This window comes from Homo sapiens, chromosome 18, assembly GCF_000001405.40.
Source record: "Homo sapiens chromosome 18, GRCh38.p14 Primary Assembly".
In the NCBI taxonomy this organism is placed as follows: Eukaryota; Metazoa; Chordata; class Mammalia; order Primates; family Hominidae; genus Homo; species Homo sapiens.
The window spans coordinates 32,082,289-32,097,590 of NC_000018.10; the positions used below are offsets into that span (position 1 = coordinate 32,082,289).

The 15,302-nt window shown below is 45.2% G+C and overlaps 2 protein-coding genes, 1 long non-coding RNA gene and 1 other non-coding gene across 10 annotated transcripts in view, besides 3 other annotated features; 3 read left to right on the top strand and 1 right to left on the bottom strand.

Moving 5' to 3' along the window:
- The window catches only part of RNF125 (ring finger protein 125), a 71,982-nt gene extending 63,464 nt beyond the window's left edge, over positions 1-8,518 (top strand). For both annotated transcript variants that reach the window (NM_001436860.1, NM_001436861.1), the window contains one exon: positions 5,610-8,518. In NM_001436860.1, coding sequence (NP_001423789.1) covers positions 5,610-5,681 — 72 coding nt within the window. In that variant the 3' untranslated portion in view covers positions 5,682-8,518. The remainder of the gene's footprint in view (positions 1-5,609) is intronic.
- Positions 2,964-3,093: an enhancer, noted in NCBI's record as "active region_13210". NCBI's record gives its function as "activates an Ori minimal core promoter by ATAC-STARR-seq in GM12878 lymphoblastoid cells {active_cell/tissue: GM12878}" and the evidence as "EXISTENCE:reporter gene assay evidence [ECO:0000049][PMID:35858748]".
- LOC124904278 (uncharacterized) lies at positions 8,987-9,657 on the bottom strand. The gene is made up of 2 exons (XR_007066327.1): positions 9,567-9,657; positions 8,987-9,214 (listed from the first exon to the last, which is right to left on the bottom strand). It is a non-coding gene; the product is annotated as an uncharacterized LOC124904278 (long non-coding RNA).
- Positions 9,285-9,334: an enhancer, noted in NCBI's record as "active region_13211". NCBI's record gives its function as "activates an Ori minimal core promoter by ATAC-STARR-seq in GM12878 lymphoblastoid cells {active_cell/tissue: GM12878}" and the evidence as "EXISTENCE:reporter gene assay evidence [ECO:0000049][PMID:35858748]".
- Positions 9,586-15,302, top strand: part of RNF138 (ring finger protein 138) — a 39,688-nt gene continuing 33,971 nt past the window's right edge. For 3 of the 6 annotated variants that reach the window (XR_935225.3, NM_016271.5, XM_005258286.3), the window contains exons 1-2: positions 9,586-9,947; positions 10,412-10,598. Coding sequence is in view for 4 of the 6 variants with exons in the window: in NM_016271.5 (NP_057355.2) it covers positions 10,489-10,598 (110 nt within the window). In the remaining 2 variants the exon portion in view is untranslated. Of the gene's footprint in view, positions 9,948-10,399; positions 10,599-15,302 lie in introns of those variants that run through there. The other 3 variants (NM_001191324.2, NM_198128.3, XM_005258285.2) reach the window with 2 other exon arrangements.
- Positions 10,005-10,424: a silencer, noted in NCBI's record as "silent region_9388". NCBI's record gives its function as "represses an Ori minimal core promoter by ATAC-STARR-seq in GM12878 lymphoblastoid cells {active_cell/tissue: GM12878}" and the evidence as "EXISTENCE:reporter gene assay evidence [ECO:0000049][PMID:35858748]".
- On the top strand, positions 12,216-12,318 carry LOC124904366 (small nucleolar RNA U13). The gene has a single exon (XR_007066484.1). It is a non-coding gene; the product is annotated as a small nucleolar RNA U13 (small nucleolar RNA).

The following is a 15,302-nucleotide window of genomic DNA, read 5'->3' on the forward strand; positions in this document are numbered from 1 at the left end:
AAATACATTGGACTGGTATATGTATATACACACACAAACACACACACACACATATATATACATGGACACACATCATATATATTATATTTGTATTTATATTATATGTATGTTTAAATATAAGTAGAGAGTTTATTTGGGCCAAGTTTGAGATCTGCAACCTGGGAGCGTAGATTCAGGATGCTGTGAATTCAGATCACCAGGCAATATTTTAGGGAATAGAGAAGACCTCTCTGCCAGCCCAGGTAGTCGTCTTCACGCTGTCCTGATATAAAGTTTGTCAAACAGAGTGTACTGGGATATACATCGCCCCCAGAGTTGCTGCTAAGGAACGGAAACTCTATGTGTGTAGGCCAGCCTTGGCTCTTCAATTTAGCAGCCCTGCTGACCTGACATTTTTGGTGTTTGCTTTTAGGAATTTCCCCTATAATGAAAATGATGGACAGGTGACTAAGTTTTTATTAGAATTATAGCACTGGAAAAACACAATTCGTATAACAGGACTGTGATTCATTGAAACCAATGTCCCAGTTCCTTGGAGACCCTAAGGTCCTCAGGGCATTTGTGGACTCCAATACCTTTAACAAAAAGTGAATTGTGAGATATACCCATCCTCTCTCCCCAAACAGGGTAGTCTCCTCTAATGTCCTTTCAGATGCTCCCTTGACAATAGAAATGATCCCAGAAGGCAATATCAGAGAAGCTAGATTTGTTGGCAATAGAGCTCTCACTGTTGCAAAGTCAACCAAATGATGCCCATGAGATGCTGTGGTTCTCTGCTTTACTTTATTAATTCTGTCCAGCAACAGATGGTACATGTCCTGTGTTTCTTCCCCTTTTTCCATGTTCTAAATGGAAGTTTTCATTGTAGTTGTATTTGCTCTCCATTGTGGTACATAACAGGTGGTTGATAGGAATTACATTTCTTATTTGGTCTAAGGTTGCAGTATCATGAGATCTCAAAATTGGACCAGATTAAGACCCAAGTAAAGGGAAAGGTAAATCATTTGGCAATACTGAACTGGAAAAATAGTGGTCTCATGACATTGTGACATTGCTGCTAGAAGGGACTTTGGATTACCTCCTTTCGAGAAAATAATAAATGCCTATATATTAAGGGGTAAGGCTGGAATTATTGAACTTCATGTATAGAAAGAAGGGCTTATATGTGGGCTGGAGGGTTCTTCTGTTTCCCTAAAATGTAGGCTTTGTTTGCTTTTTAAAATTGGTGTCAGGCTTTTGCCTCCAGTGTGATACTGGAACTAATCTTGTTATAGTTTCCTCTGTCCTGGCGAGGAAGCCGGGGCAGAACAATGCCCAGAGGATGTTAATAAATGTGGAGTAGGTCAGGTGCGGTGGCTCATGCCTGTAATCCCAGCACTTTGGGAGGCCTAGGTAGGCAGATTGCTTGAGCTCAGAAGTTTGAAACCAGCCTGGGTAACATGGCCAAACCCCATCTCTACAAAAATTAGCTGAGTGTGGTGGTGTGTGCCTATGGTTCTCACTACTCAGGAGGCAGAGGCAGGAGGATTGACTGAGCCTGGGAGTTTGAAGCTGCAGTGAGCTATGATTGTGCCACTGTACTACAGCCCGGGCAACAGAGGCGAGACCCTGTCTCGAAAAAAAAAATGTGGAGTAAAGGAAAAACAAAAAGGGAAAAAAAGGAAAGAGGGAGGGAGAAAAGGTAAGAAAAAGAAAGGGAGAAAGGGAGAGAAGAGCGAGAGAGAAATGGAGAAAGATCTTTTAGCTTCAAATTTAAATGTTTCTCTCAAAGATTAAAAAACAACTGACCAGGTGCGGTGGCTTACACCTGTAATCCCAGCACTTTGGGAGGCCGACGCAGGTGGATCACCTGAGGTCAGGAGTTTGAGACCAGCCTAGCCGACTTGCTGAAACCCCATCTCTACAAAAATACAAAAATTAGCCAGGCTTGGTGGCGCATGCCTGTAATCGCAGCTACTTGGGAGGCTGAGGCAGGGGAATCGCTTGAACCCAGGAGACGGAGGTTGCAGTGAGCCGAGATAGTGCCACTGCATTCCCGCCTGTGGGATAGAGCAAGACTATGTCTCCAAACAAACAAACAAACAAACAAAAAAACAAGAACAGTGTCAAAGAAAAGTTGAAATGTGAGTTGATTTGTTGAAATCTATTCATCATTACTGGTCTACTCTAGGGCTCTGCCTCCTAGGACAGCATAGTTTATTCAGTGAAGTGACTTTAGCTGCATTCCGAATATCTGTTTCATTGTTGGTTTGCTCTCTTTCTACTGACTGATTTGTGTGTTTGGGCAAGGGAGAAGGTGGCTGCCCCACAGCTCCTGTGTTAACATGCCTTCCAAATTAAGGGATTTGATAGAGACTGACTAGAATATCAGAATCTCAGTTCCACAGTTTTGGGAGACACAGTGTGGCTATCACAAGCTGGGATTATATTCACCTCTATCCTAATCAACTGTAACATAGAGGCCAGATTCCACAGGATAAACAGGGTCACCGGGGCTACTCATATGAACATTGTTAAAAATGGAAGCTGTATAATAATACATAAAATATGGATGATATGAAATTAAATGTCATGAAAATTCATGTTCATAATGACATTTATGAAGAAGTTGAAATGTAACTGTCTCAAACTGGGGTGAATTCAAAAGATAAATTCCTTCATTTTCTATAGTTAATTTAATCTCACTTTTGAACTTCCATTTCAGCTACTTTGCAGAGGTGTGAGGAGAGAATTTAAGCTTACAATGAAAAGTAACCCAGTTCCTTGTCTTTGGGAAGGAAGAACCACTTTGCGGCATTTCTTTGTCACTTGCCTCTCCTCTCCTTCTGAACTGTTGATTCAGCTAGGAAACTGGGACAGGGGCCAATCAGGAAAGCGGAGCTTGCAAGGGTGGTTCAGTAGAGGATGATTAATATGGGAAACTAATTACAAAGACATTAAAAGAGCAGAAAGGCCAAGTTGACAGTGAAGCAAATACACAAGGCATTGAGAAAAGGAAGGGCCTGCCCAGCAGGAAGCAGGACCAAAGAAAGTGCAGCCTCACAGAAGCCAAAACCGCAGAAGAAATGAAACCACTGCCAGAAGCAGAGAGAGAGAGAGAGAGAGAGAGAGAGAGAGAGAGAGAGAGAAAGCTGGGTGAGGGGGCTCACACCTGTAATCCCAGCACTTTAAGAGGCCAAGGTGGGAGGATCACCTGAGGTCTGGAGTTTGAGACCAGCCTGACCAACATGGTGAAAGCCCATTTCTACTAAAAATACAAAAAATTAGCCGGGTGTGGCGGCGGGTGCCTGTAATCTCAGCTACTTGGGAGGCTGAGGCAGGAGAATCGCTTGAACCTGGGGGTGGAGGTTGCAGTGAGCCAAGACTGCACCATTGTACTCCAGGTTGGGCAACAAGAGTGAAACGACTTATCAAAAAAAAAAAAAAAAAAAAAAAAGAGAGAGAGAAGTAACTTGGTTTCGTTCTTCCTTCCTTCCTGATCTCTCATTGGTGCCTCGTATTGGCTGAATATAGCCAGAAGTCAGCTGGTAAGGGAAACTGGGAAACAGTTTATAAGAGTCAGCTCCAACAAAAAGAGCAGAACAACAAGGGCAGAACAGGGAAAGAGATGCAGAAAGGCAAATGCCTAGGTCAGATACTTCCAACTACAAATAACCAAAGAACCCACTGAGAATGGCTCAAACTAGAAGGTGTTTAATTAATCTTGATTAACAGATAGGAGGGAGGGCAGTTTCAGGGTTGACTAGAGTAATTGAATAATTCAAATATTAATATATCAAGAACCTATATATTCTTTCCATCTTTCAGCTTTACCACCTTCAGCACATTGGCTTTTCTTTTCACGGCTGGCTCTTTACATGGTTTCATCCTGCTTGTAGTTCCACGTAGCACATATAGACAAAGAAACATCTAGATGGGGGAGTAGATTTGTCTTTTTTTTTTTTTTTTAAGAGACAAGCTCTTGCTGTGTTGCTTAGGTAGGACTCCTGGGCTCAAGCAATCCTCCTGCCTCAGCCTCTCGAATAGCTGGGACTATAGGTGCACACCACTGCACCTAGATATTTGTGTTTTTTTTTTTTTTTTCTGAGACAGGTTCTCTGTTGTTCAGGCTGGAGTGCAGTGGAGTGATCATGGCTCACTGCAGCCTTGACCTCCCAGGCTCAACCAGTCTTCCTAACTCAGTCTCCCGAGTAGCTGGGATTACACGTGTGAGCCACCACACCATGCTAATTTCTAATTTTTTTTTTTTAAGATGGAGTTTTGCTCTTGTTGCCCAGGCTGGAGTGCAATGGCATGATCTCAGCGCATCGCAACCTCTGCCTCCCAGGTTCAAGTGATTCTCCTGCCTCAGCCTCCTAAGTAGCTGGGATTACAGGCTCCTGCCACCACACCCAGCTAATTTTGTATTTTTAGTAGAGGCAGGTTTCTCCGTGTTGGTCAGGCTGGTCTCGAACTCCCGACCTCAGGTGATCTGCCTGCCTCGGCCTCCCAAAGTGTTGGGATTTCAGGTATGAGCCACCATGCCTGGCCTCTAAAATGTTTTTGTAGAGACAGGGTCCCACTATGTTGTCCAGGCTGGTCTCAAATTCCTGACCTCAAGCTATCCTTGTACCTCAGCCTCCCAAAGTGCTGGAATTACAGGAATGAGCCACCATGCCTGGCCTTGTCTTTGATCATCAAAGAAAAGTGCTTGCTGATGCCCCTCATAATAATTCCCTTCACAGCCTTTTGGTCATAACTGAGTCACATACACACTCATGCTTAAACCACTGGTAAGAGGAAACGGCCAATCTAGGGAAGGCTTGGAAGCTCTGCACCTCTTCCCCCATACCTTACCCTATGCGTCTCGTCATCTGTATCTTTTGCAATATCCTTTATAATATACCAGTAATCGTGTTTCTCTGAGTTCTGTGTGCTGCTTCAGCTTCAAGTTGCGGTTCCCAGAGCCCACTCTTTCGGTTTCATTAATTTGCTGGAGCAATATCCTTTATAATACACCAGTAATCATGTTTCTCTGAGTTCTGTGCACTGCTCCAGCAAATTAATGAAACCCAAAGAGTGGGCTATGGGAACCGCAACTTGAAGCTGGTTGGTCGGAAGTTCTGGAGGCCCGGACTTGTAAGTGGTGTCTGGGGGTATGGAAGCCAGTCTTGGGAACTGGGCCCCCAACCTGTGGGATCTGACACTGTCTCTGGGTAGGTAGGAACTGAATTAGAGGACACCCATTTGCTGTCTGCTGCTTGGTGCATGGGGAAAACCCCCCACATATTTGTTCACAGAAGTCTTCTTCTGTGTTGATTGTTGTGGTGCGTGAGAGTAAAGGTAAAATATGGTTAGAGTTTTCCCTACACAATTGGTTATTGTGGAGGTTAAAGAACTCCATCATGGATGTTAACATGCTAGGTTGACTTCTGATTAACCCCAGTTCCAGGAATGCCCCTAAGAGTTCTTCTTTATGATTCCTTGTGTAAAAAGAGCATGGTCTTAATCATAAATCCTGCCCTTAAGCAAATTATAGGCTGTAATGCACATAGTATTCTTGTCTTTCCCTCAGGGGTGAACTTTAATTTTCCTGCACATTATGTATACCCTTTCCTTATGGTCTGCAGGATAACAATACGAAGATCCACCTGTCTTGCTGCTGCCCAAGACCACACTTCCATCCACAAGTTCCCCAGTAAATCACCTGCTACCAGCAAACTGGATTTGTTTGCCTCTTCTTTGGATTTTTGGCTTCTTCTGCATTTGAGAGTCACTTTGCATATATAGCCCTTTCATGGAACAGTTGTGTATGTACATAGTCAAGAGTAATATTTAGCTAATATTTGCTAAAATAAAAATATTTAGCAACTGGAACCAAATTGGCACTGGTCATTCAGGACAGACTACTCACCAGTCAGGATGGACAAGGCTGAAAAAGACTAGGAAAATGGTACTGGTACAAACCAGCTGAGTGTCAACACTGCACATGGTAGCAATTTACAAAGATACCAAAGGGTAGAGAGTGAAACATGAGCCTCTCTCCTGTTCCATCCTCCAGCTTCCCAGTTCACTTCTTCAAAGGCAATCACTTTTACCAGCAAAACAGGATTTTGAAGGTTTGTAGTAAGATAAAGCCAGGCCTTGTCAAGAAATCAGTATTCTAAATTATTTTATTTTTCTCTTTTGCATATCAAGATCCATCGAACTTGACTGGAGAGTTTTATTTACTTATTTTGATTTTTTATTTTTTGAGACAGAGTCCCGCTCTGTCACCCAGGCTGGAGAGCAGTGGTGCCATCTCAGCTCACTGCAACTTCTGCCTCCTGGGTTCAAGCCACTCTTCTGCCTCAGCCTCTGGAGTAGCTGGGACTATAGGCATGCATACCATGCCCGGTTAATTTTTGTATTTTAGTAGAGACAGGTTTCGCCATGTTGTCCAGGCTGGTCACGAACTCCTGACCTCAAGTGATCTGCCTGCCTCGGCCTCCCAGAGTGCTGGGATTAGGAGCATGATCCACCACGCCTGGTCTTGACTGGAGAGTTTTAGAGCACCCAATCAGCAAGAAGTGGCAAGGGGAAAAGTCCATTCCTTCTAATCCAAGAGACTGTAGGAGAAGAAACAAAGTAGGGGCTTCATTCTGGGGGGGAAAGGTGGTTTAGATGGGTTGGAGTGTGTGCCCTGGAAGCACATGGCCTTACAGGCTGTTCAGAACCAGAGGGAGAACCACAAAGGATGTCATAGACAGTAGTTGTGTTGAGAGCCAGAGAGCCTGCTAAGGAGCCTGCCATGTTGAGGGTTAAGGAATTGGAAGGTGATCGTGGCAGGAATCAGAAGGTTTTACAGTGTTGGTGAAGCTAGGACATATCTCAGGGCCTTGGCCCAGCTGAGAGACAGGTCCGAGCAATCTTCATCAGCAAGTTTCAGCAAGAGAACACCCAGGACACATTACATCTCAAGGAGCAGAGAAAATTAGTCTGGCTAAAGAAAATCCGGCAAAAATGCAAAAGAGAACTTGCAGATTTCAGGAGCCAGATTCCCCTATAGTGCCTTGAGTTCATGTCAGCTACCCATCATCCTCCCTTCCCTTCTCCCAAATGCCATTCTGAGGGAAGCCCACTGAGAGGGACTGACTGGTTTAACCCAAACTTAAAGGAACTGTTTAAATTATTGCAGCACAGTTTACCAAATCGGTCTACATCTAGGGTTTTCCCTTCTAATGACCAAAGGCTGAGGACATTTTATTTACGCAGCTGAATGTATTTTGAGTAAATCTATGACATTCTTATAAAAATATCAAGTAGCTTTTCACCAGAAATGTTGCCAAGAAAGAAGATTGTGTCATTGGTAATTGCAACTTATTTTTTTAAGCTTAACTTTCCAAGGGTATCTATATTTTTCTTATGTCCAAGTTTTTGCTGGATTTCCACATATTGCCAGCTATATGCTTACGTGTATACCGAATGACTTATTAGAATATATGGGGGAGTGATACAAATATGTTTGGATTAGACATAAGTAAAGCTGCCGTTGCAGAGAAAGAATGAAGCAAATAAAATTAGGGTCACAAAATTAATGTTATGGTTAGATATTCCCAATGAATAATGGGAAACACTATTATACAGAAAATACACCTTACTTCCTAAATGGTCAGAATGAATGAAATGAGTGGAATTATCAAAAAAGTAAAATGTAGGCCAGGCACAGTGGCTCAGGCCTGTAATTCCAGCACTTTGGGAGGCCAAGGTGGGCGGATCGCTGGAGGCCAGGAGTTCGAGACTAGCCTGGCCAACATGGCAAAACCCTGTCTCTACTAAAAATGCAAAAATTAGTTTGGCATGGTGGTGCATGCCTGTAATCTCAGCTACTTGGGAGGCTGAGGCAGGAGAGTTGCTTCAACCTGGAAGGCGCAGGTTGAAGTGAGCTGAGATCATTCCACTGCACCCCAGCCTGGGTGACAGAGTGAGATTCTGTCTCAAAAGAAAAAAGAAAAAAAGTGAGTTTTCTTCTCTGGGCTGTTAAAAATTTGAACTCAAAGAACCATTTTATAAGTGAATGTGAAAAGCACCTGAACTACTGCTATTAGCTGCCCCTCTCGTCACGTGCTCTTCCTCCTTCCAGGAAATCTGAAGCTAGTATTAGCTTTCTTGTCTTGCTTCCACTGCGCTTGCTGCTAAGGAGGAAAAGCAACAAAAATACAAAATATAGTTTGGTAGAGGGAATTAGCTATTCATTGGACAAATTATTATTATTCTAGGAATCAATGCTTTTGAGATGTACATTAAAACCCATTTCCTCCATAAAGTTTTCTGTTAACTCTATATATTTCTAATCATTCCATTTCCTATCCTCATTATAGCCATCGTTTAATGCAAAATTTAATACTTTGGCAAATACCATTTTTTCTCTCTCATTCTGATAGATATGTAATAATGTAAACAGGTTGAGAGCAAAGTTCATGACATCTGCATAACACCTAACAATGCCAATGTCAACATAGACAATAAATGGCAGAATTGATTTAAATAGTCCCTTAAATGGCTTCTGTTTATTCATTTAGACCATGGGGGAGGGTTTTAACAAAGGATGGTAATAAAACCTTTCTTTTCTCTGAAGCTAATTGTAGATGCTGTATAATGTTCCAGATTTTCCTTAGCTTCTTTCACGTCATTGTGGATCCCATCTTATCGATTTATCCTTTTTTTGTTCTTCTTTTTTTTTGAGAGTCTCACTCTGTCGCCAGGGCTGGAGTGCAGCGGCGCGATCGCGGCTCACTGCAACCTCTGCCTCCCGGGTACAAGCGATTCTCGTGCCTCAGCCTCCCGAGTACCTGGGATTACAGGCTCCCACCACCATGTCCGGTTAATTTTTGTATTTTTAGTAGAGATGGGATTTCATCACGTTGGCCAGGCTGGTCTTGAACTCCTGACCTCAAGTGATCCAACCGCCTTCGCTTACCAAAGGGCTGGGATTACAGGTGTGAGCCACCGCGCCCGGCCTTTTTTCTTTCTTTTTTTTTTTTTTTTTTGAGACGGAATCTCACTCTGTTACGCAGGTTGGACCATCTTATAGATTATCAATTGTACAGATAATTGCACTCCGGCCTGGGAGACAGAGTGAGTACCTGTCTCAAAAAATAAAATAAAATAAAATAAAATTAAAAAAAACACTTAAATTAGTGAATAACCTTGGTGAAAAGCCACGTCCATGCTTCTACGGCATTTCTCTTCAAAGCTAAAAAAAAAAAGAAAAAATCAAAAATCAACCCAAAGGTGTAGTAGAAGACTGCATCTGCGACCGTATTTAAGCATCGGTCATGCTGTTAAAGGAGAAAGTGGACATCCTCTCAAGGAAACTTTAATCCTGCCCCCAAAGGATTAAAATCCCGTAACAAATATTTGTTTATAACACATCTTGACAAGATCAAAACATTCTGGTAGGGCAAATAGTAAAGACTAAATCTTGAACATTGACGAAAACTTCCTGAAAGGCCCAATGTATTTGACAGGAGAGGTAACTGGGGTCCCGGGCCTAGCGAGGCGGGGCGGGGAGGCGCAGGTGTCACCGCGGGCGCCCAGCTGCTTACGTCACAACCCGCGGAAGGCGCCGTGCGCCGGTTGCTATACAGGCCGCACTTCACACCCCGTGCCTCCCCGCCTCTCCTGGCTCCTCCGCCCAGATCCCCGGCGCTCCCGCGTTCGGTGACGGCCGGGTAGGCTGTAGGCAGCGCAATGCCAAGACAGAGCTGCTGGCGGCGGCGGGCGAATCTCCCTGCACCATGAGCCTCGGCTCCGGCCCCGTTAGGGGCCGATAAGCACAGCGCACGCCGCCCTCCATTTGCCCCGGGGCCTCGGCTGCGAAGATAGCGGCGGCCGGACAGGAAGCTCGAGGAAAGCGCTGGGCCGGGTCTCTACGAACACGTGAAGGAAAAGCAGCTCCGTCCACAACGCCGCTTCGGGGCTCCTAGGTGAGAGTCTCCCCGGCGGAAGCGTGGAGGGGCCGGGGTGCCGGGAAGCGGGGCGGGGAGGAAGCCGCGGACACGGGCTGGGCACTCGGGGCTCGGGGTCGGGGTGAGTAGAGGCGGAAAAGCAGTGAAAAGGGAGGCCTTGGGCGAAGACGGGGGCTGAGGGCGGGGCGCGAGCCCGCGCCTGGAGCCCGGTGAGGGCGTGGCCTAGAGCGTGAGGCCGCGTCCTGGGGCGGGGTGAGGGGCGAGCGGGGCGGGCCCACGGCATGCTGCGAGCCCAGCCTCCCGCCAAGCACCGTCCCCCATCCAGCCCCCTGTGGGAGGAGCCGTGGGAGGGGTCGCCTCTTGCCCGGCGCGTGCGGCAGTAGCGTCTCTGCGTTCGGCCCCGCCCTACCCAGGGCCCCGCCCCCTTCCTGGCGCGCGCTGTATCCTGATGCGATCCCCCTCCCCCCTCCGGGTTCATGTAGGGAGTCGGGCCCCGGGCCGCCACCGTCACCTCGGCCGCTGCCGCTGTCGCCATCGCCTTGTTTCCCCATCCCCCGCCATGGCCGAGGACCTCTCTGCGGCCACGTCCTACACCGAAGATGATTTCTACTGCCCCGTCTGTCAGGAGGTGCTCAAAACGCCCGTGCGGACCACGGCCTGTCAGCACGTGTGAGTAGACGCCCCCTCCCCCTCGCGGAGCCGGGTTGTCGCTTAGGCCCGGCCTCCGGCCCGGGACCCCGGGCTGCCGCCTGGCGGGAACCGAGCCCGCCGCGGCCTGCCCGAGCGTCGCTGCCCCGCGAGGTCCCGTTCCCCGCCCCTCAGAGTCCCGGGGCGGCCTTTTCCTCAGCCTCGGGGCCCGCTCCCCGCGTCCAGCCCCCTCAGCCCAAGCTCCCGCTCTCCCGCTCTCCCGCTCTCCCGCTCTCCCGCTCTCCCTGGCTTTCGCGCCCCCGGGGCAGTGGCCAGGCCGTTCCCTGCGGCGTCTTCAGGCCCCGGAGGCCCCTGTCGTCTCCGCCAGGCCCGGGAGGAATTGCAGGGATCTTGGAGCCTTTTTGTTTCTTAGCAACCCGGGTGAAGGCTGGGGTGTCGAGTGTCAAAAGCGGCCGGCGGTGCTCGCGCGGGCCCGCTCGCCCCGCGACCTGCCCTGCTTTCAAGTTTCCTCTTTCAGAACCTTGGTCCGTCCCCTCGGTCCAAGAGCTCTTCTGTAACTTCCCCTCAACCCTGCTTCACAGAACACCCTCGAGAGCGTTTTGTTTCGTTTCCAGTCCACTATGTGTTAGAGGGATCTAGAATGAGTTTTCTTCTCTGGTCTCTTAAAACTGACAGGATTTTCGGGCATTGAAATGAGCGTTCCCCTTTGTTTTACCTTTCTGCTTACTTATTACTTGATTAATACAAGGGTGGAGAGGAGAAAGGAAGACTTCTGTTATGAGGAATGAGCCGAAATTGAGATGCTACCCAGGGTGGGGGAGAACACAAAGGGGTTGGGTGAGATAACGCATGCGTTTGATTGGCAGGCATATTTACAAGAACTTTGATAAAATTTTATGGACAGCTAGGGTGTGAGTAAGGGTTGGAAAGAGCCCTTGTTGAGAAGGTGTATAGCCCTTCTGACAGACCTGACTGATGATCAGAGTCCCCGGGGAACTTTTTAAGTAAACATACCAATTCCCAGGCTCCATTTCAAACTTAACAAAAGAATGTTCGGGCAGGTGGGGCCTGGAAATCTTTATTTATTTATTTATTGTATTTTTTTTTAGTAGAGACGGGGTTTCACCGTGTTAGCAAGGATGGTCTCGATCTCCTGACCTCGTGATCCTCCCGCCTCGGCCTCCCAAAGTGCTGGGATTAAAGGCGTGAGCCACCGCGCCCCGCCCGGAAATCTTTATTTTTAAAAAACACACTCAGGCTTGAAAGTTACGTGTGTTTGCAAACAACTGAAAAGAATTGACCAACCTTCTAAATGTATTTCATTCTCCTTCGACTTTTTTTTCTTTTTTTTTTGAGGTGAGGTTCTATAATTTTGTAAAGGATGGATTGAATTTTTGGTTCTTAATTGCAAATGCCCTTACTGTGGCTGTTTTCTTGATACCAACTCTTCTCATTTTTTCCCCAATCTTAACTGCACTGTCTACTTTATTTCTATTTTGTGCTGGTTGTGTGAGCCAAGAGTGTGTGGATTTTCATGATAGAAATTATGCCAGTTACGCTTTTGCTCTTTAAGGGAGATGAATGACATCTTGTTATTTTGTGCAACAAATGCAGATTCTTAGGGAAATGTTTTGAGGGATCCTTTTGCGGTTCATAGTGTGATGATTGAGTGTTCACAGGCATGTGTGAGATATGCCATCCTCAAACCTTGTTACAGGGTCAGCACATTACCCATCTGACATGAAAAAAAAAACGTTTGGAGGTGTCTAGGGCACAATATAGATCTTCCACCTTTAATCTAGCATAACTTGGTCCCTTTCCAATATTTAAAAAAAATTTAAGTGCTGTGTTGGCATTGGGTAGATAAAAGGGAGGGAGGAGAGCAAGGTGAGAGGAAGTTGTAATAGCTGCTAACTATATATATATATATAAAGCAGGTCTTTTTTGGATAGAATCATTCTAATTATCCTTTGGGTCATTGACCTAATGGGCCTCATTGTAGTTTTTAGCACTCCCCAAAATTCCGTGTAGATTGCTCTAGTCCGCTTCCCTTGTGGGACATTTTAAATCAAGGTTTATAATTTGATTTGACCTCAAGACTGTGGAAAATGTTGGAGATGATTGTTTTTAATTCAGGACCTTTCTCAAATCAACTTATTGTACGTAGACAGTTCTGCCTGAACAATGAATTAAAAGAATAGGCAGAGGGAGAAAAAAAGTTTAATTTGGAAGAGGTGGTAATGGAGGAACAGGATTTTAATCAGTTGGAAGGAGTTTAGTGGGGGAATTGGAGAGAAATTTTAAAAATTATCGTTTTTTTTTGAGACATGGTCTTATTCTGTTGTCCAGGGTGGAGTGCAGTGGTGTGATCATGTTTCATTGCAGCCTTGACCTCCCCCGTTGGAGCAACCCTCCCGCCTCAGCCTCTCAAGTTGCTGGGACTACAGGAGCATGCCTCCATGCCTGACTAATTTTGTTTTCTTTTTTATAGAGACAGGGCCTCACTACGTTGCCCAGTCAGATCTTGAACTCCTGGGCTGAAGTCATCCTCCTGTCTTGGCCTCCAAAAGTGCTGGGATGACAGGCGTGAGGCATGGCACCTGACCTGTTTTTTAATTAACATAGTTATCTATGTCATTTGCTCTACCTTCTTCACAAAGGACAGACCTATGCCTTTAAAGAAATTTATATTTGGCTGCAAAATCAATTTTTGATTCACGAATAGAGAGTTGAAGTGATAAGGGCTTTGGGTTACTGTGGATCAGTTAGAAAATGAAAAATTTTAATTGCCATTTCAATGACAGGAAAGGATTTGACTACTGACTATCCTAGTAAAAGGAGCAAGTTCATTATCATTAGAATAACATTACTAAAATATAAACTCCCGTTTAATCCCCATTCATTCCCTGAAACTGCAGTTGTTGAATGCTCTTTGTCTGGTGCAGGGACTACTAAGTACTGTTTCTCTGGAGACTTAATAGTCCGCTGGAGAGACCTATAAATGAGTGTGATTGATATAGAAGAGATTTTATGTGAGCATCTAGAGCAGGTATCTAAATTAGCCTAAAGGATAGGGATAATTTCCTAGATGAAGTAATGCCTTAGGTCAGCGTTTGTATTCAGTGTTTGTGGGGAATGCCAGAGTCAAGGAGGGTACAGAGGATGAATGTGAGCTGGACTTTGAAGTTTGGCTGGAGCCAAAGACAGCGTAGTGGAGATGGAGCTTAGCGTTATTGGCAGGAACTTACTGTGTAAGCTAATTTGAGTGTTTTCCTGAAAACCTATTAAATAATTAGATAACCTAATGAATAATACTAGACCTAGTAAATAATTTTTGGCAGGGGAGCAGCGTGGTCACATTTCATTTTTAGAAAGTTTACCTTCATAGCAGGGTTTTCAGCTTGGTAGTGGTGAGACTAGTGAAGAGGTCGGTCATTCATTGATGTGTCAGGGAGAGAAATGATTAGAACCTGAACTAAGGAAATGATAGTAGGAATGGAGCAGAGAGACTCCTGACATTTTAAGGACAGTGTAAGATTTGATGACTGGGTTCAGTAGTTAAGTGTGTATACCATATGTAGATCTGGAATACATGGAGCTAAAGCTGTGGGTGTCGAAGTGGTCACCGAGTGAGGTATATAAATGGAAAGATTGAAGAGCACCTAGATAGAGCCAAGTGTTGGAGAATACTTACTTAAATATCGAGTGGAGAAAATTGCAGCCAGACAAGGAACGAACAGAAGGATAGGAAGAAAACCAGGAATAAAGTGAGAGTGGAAACTGAGGATTCAGATCATCTGCAAATGATTGTTAAGGAAGCAGTCAGCATTTTCAGAGGCCTTAGAGTGGTCAGATGTAATTTTGTTTTTGTTTTTGTTTTTTTTGAAATAGGGTCTCGCTCTGTTGCGAGGAGTGCAGTGGCATGATCATAGCTTACTGCAGCCTCGACCTCCCAGGCTCAAGAAATCTTCCCACCTCAACCTCCCAAGTAGCTAGCTGGGACTACAGGCACTCACCACCATGCCTGGCTATTAAAAAAAATTTTTTTGTAGAGATGGGTCTTGCTTTGTTGCCCAACCTAGTCTCTAACTCCTGGGTGCAAACCGTCCTCCTGCCTCAGCCTCCCAAAGTGCTGGGATTACAGGCAAGAGCCTCCACACCTGGCAGATGTAATATTTTGAAAAACATGTTAAGACAAATTAATATGAAAGTTGAGCAGGTAGTCAAAGCAAGGCTTCAGAAGAAAGTACAGACTGGCGTAGGAGTAAGGTGTTTATCTCTTTTGGTGTTTTATTCTGTAATCTTCAAAGGCTCTTGGAAACCTCTGTTCTTCCTTGTTTTGAACAGTCAAGGAAATAATTCTTGTACATGGCAGAAGTAAGCTACTATTGCAATAAAAATTACATATAACAAGTTTGATTCTTTGCTGAACTCTTAAAAATGGAAATCTAATCTGTTTTTGCTTTTAGGCCTCTCTGTAAGGAGGCATCTTTTAAAATGAACTTCTACTTCTTGTTAAGCACAAATTTGTGTAATTTCCTATTTGACCAGCTTGAACATCCAGTTCCTGAGTTTTTAGTTCATATTTACTTTTTTTAATCCTTAATTTTAAAACAATTTTAAATTAATTATTTATTTTTGAGACCGAGTCTCTGTTGCCCAGGCTGGAGTGCAGTGGTGGGATCTTGGTTTACTGTAACCTCCACCTCCTGGATTTAAGCGATT